This window comes from Homo sapiens, chromosome 5, assembly GCF_000001405.40.
Source record: "Homo sapiens chromosome 5, GRCh38.p14 Primary Assembly".
In the NCBI taxonomy this organism is placed as follows: Eukaryota; Metazoa; Chordata; class Mammalia; order Primates; family Hominidae; genus Homo; species Homo sapiens.
In genome coordinates, this window is record NC_000005.10 from 121,936,999 (window position 1) to 121,939,428 (window position 2,430).

Sequence of the window (2,430 nt, forward strand, 5' to 3'; positions counted from 1 at the left end):
AACTAACCTTTAGCAGAAAAAGATTGTCAAATTATCTTCCATGTAATTCATCACTGTCCTTTATGTTCTGAAAAAATGGAGCGATGTCCTTGATCCAGACAGCTTCACAGGACATATTTGATTAGTTCCTAAGGATACATATGAAATGTCAAGGAAATATTACCACTAGGCATTTTAATACCTTAATGAGATCCTTTTATTCTCCCTTCCTCTGCTCTATTACGTTTCCTTATAGACTCCAGTTGCTTATTACTTTGGGAACAATAGATGATGTTACTGATACGACTACAGAGTCTCTAGACTAAAATTTAAGTTCTTTAGCTGATGATAAAATTGTCAGAAATTCATTGTAATAAAGATGTTCATTTTTTCTCCCACTTCTTTGTTCTAAGGACCTTTGCAAAGGCTTACTCTACCATCTCCAAGTCCCACCCAGAAACTTGAATTCAGAAATATGAGAAAAGAGTATGCACTTGGGAACCATACAGGCTGAGCTAACTTAATGCTGTGGTGGGTAAATAAAACATATTTGAATAGTTCCTAGTATAATGTTCAGTTTAAAACAATTACTCAATTAACCTTAATTTCTTTTTCTGCTTCTTTTCTTTCGAAGTCTCACTTTTTTGCCCTTAATTATGCTCTGTATTTTAGATGTCTTCCAACTGTCAAAAGTCTTATCTATCCTTCTTACCCAACTCACCTTTCCCCTTCTTAATAAGCCTCCTAATATCACTATTAAAGAATTTTAATTTTTTAGTTCTTTGAGAGTAGTAACAATATCTCCTGTCAGAATTTCTAAAAGAGTAAGTGGCTTGAACACAATGAAAAAGTAAATTCCTTTGAATGAACTATTTGAAACTGGAATGTGAGTTTGGCTGTGAGGTCAAGAATACTGGCATGCATAAGGATCCAACTTGTGCTGCGTATAAATCAAATAGGCTGTATCAAAAGTAAACCAAGATGCAGCTGGAAGCCATTACCCTAAGCAAATTAACGCAGAAATAGAAAACCAAATACCACATGCTCTCACTGATAAGTGGGAGCTAAGCATTGAGTACACATGGACATACAGATGAGGATGATAGAAACTGGGACTACAAGGGAGAGATAAAAAGGGGAAAGGGGCTAGAAAACTACTTATTAGCTAATTGAGTACTATGCTCACTACTGGGGTACTGGGATCATCTGTATTCCAAACTTCAGCATCACAAAATATTCCCATGTGACAAACCCACACATATACCCTTAATCTAAAATAAAAGTTGAAATTTATTTTATTTTATTTTAAGTTCTGGAATACATGTGTAGAATGTGCAGGTTTGTTACATAGGTATATGTGTGCCATGGTGGTTTGCTGCACCTATTGATCTGTACTTTAAGTTCCTTCCCCTCGTCCCCCACACCGCAACAGGCCCTGGTGTGTGTTGTTCTCCTACCTGTGTCCATGTGTTCTCATTGTTCGACTTCCACTTAAGCAAACATGCGGTGTTTGCTTTTCTGTTCCTGTGTTAGTTTGCTGAGGATGATGGCTTCCAGCTTCATCCATATCCTGGCAAAAATATGTTCTCACTCCTATTTATGGCTGCATAGTATTCTATAGTGTATATGTTCCACATTTTCTTCATCCAGTCTATCATTGATGGGGATTTGGGTTTTTTTTTAAGTAAACCAAGGTTCTAATATCAGGGGGCAAGCACATAATAAAAGCACAAACTTTTAACTATTAACTGGGAGTCTCAACATGGACCTTTAGCCTTAGAGAGCAAAACCAGTGCAGGGAAATTTTCTTAAACTTGAATAGCACATGGTTCATATACTATGACTCTGCTCTTTCTACTAAATCTTTCTATTGCTCTGCAGCTAGAAGGTACTTATTTAGACTTTATGTAAATAATATTATTTCTACTTACTGAACTCCTGCTAGAATGGCCTGCTAGCATTTGTAGTTCTATATTCACATAATTATAGTACTCATACATTCCAGTTTGCATGACAAATAAATTCTACAGTTTTCTTAGCAGGGGCTTCTAAGATAAGGGGGGAAAATACCTAGGGATTTGACTGAAATAACTACATTGCAGAAATAACTAAAAATGAGACCACCAAAACTATGAACATTGATTCTATACAGGAAATAAATTATTCTGAAACAAAAATAAATTTTCAGAAATATGTACAATGAATATCAGGGTAATAATAAATAACAGAAAAATCATAATGCAATTATGTAAAATGTTGTTTTGGCACTGAAAGATTAAGTAACAGCTATATTATGAGAAGGATTGGATTTGCAAAGAGTGAAATGTAGGGAAGATTTCAAAAGTAGTAGGATATTCAAAAGTTAACAATTGTTGCATGCAGGAGTAAGGGAGATGAAGAAATTAAAATCACTTCAAGTATCCATGCAACCACTGAAAGGATTCATTTTAT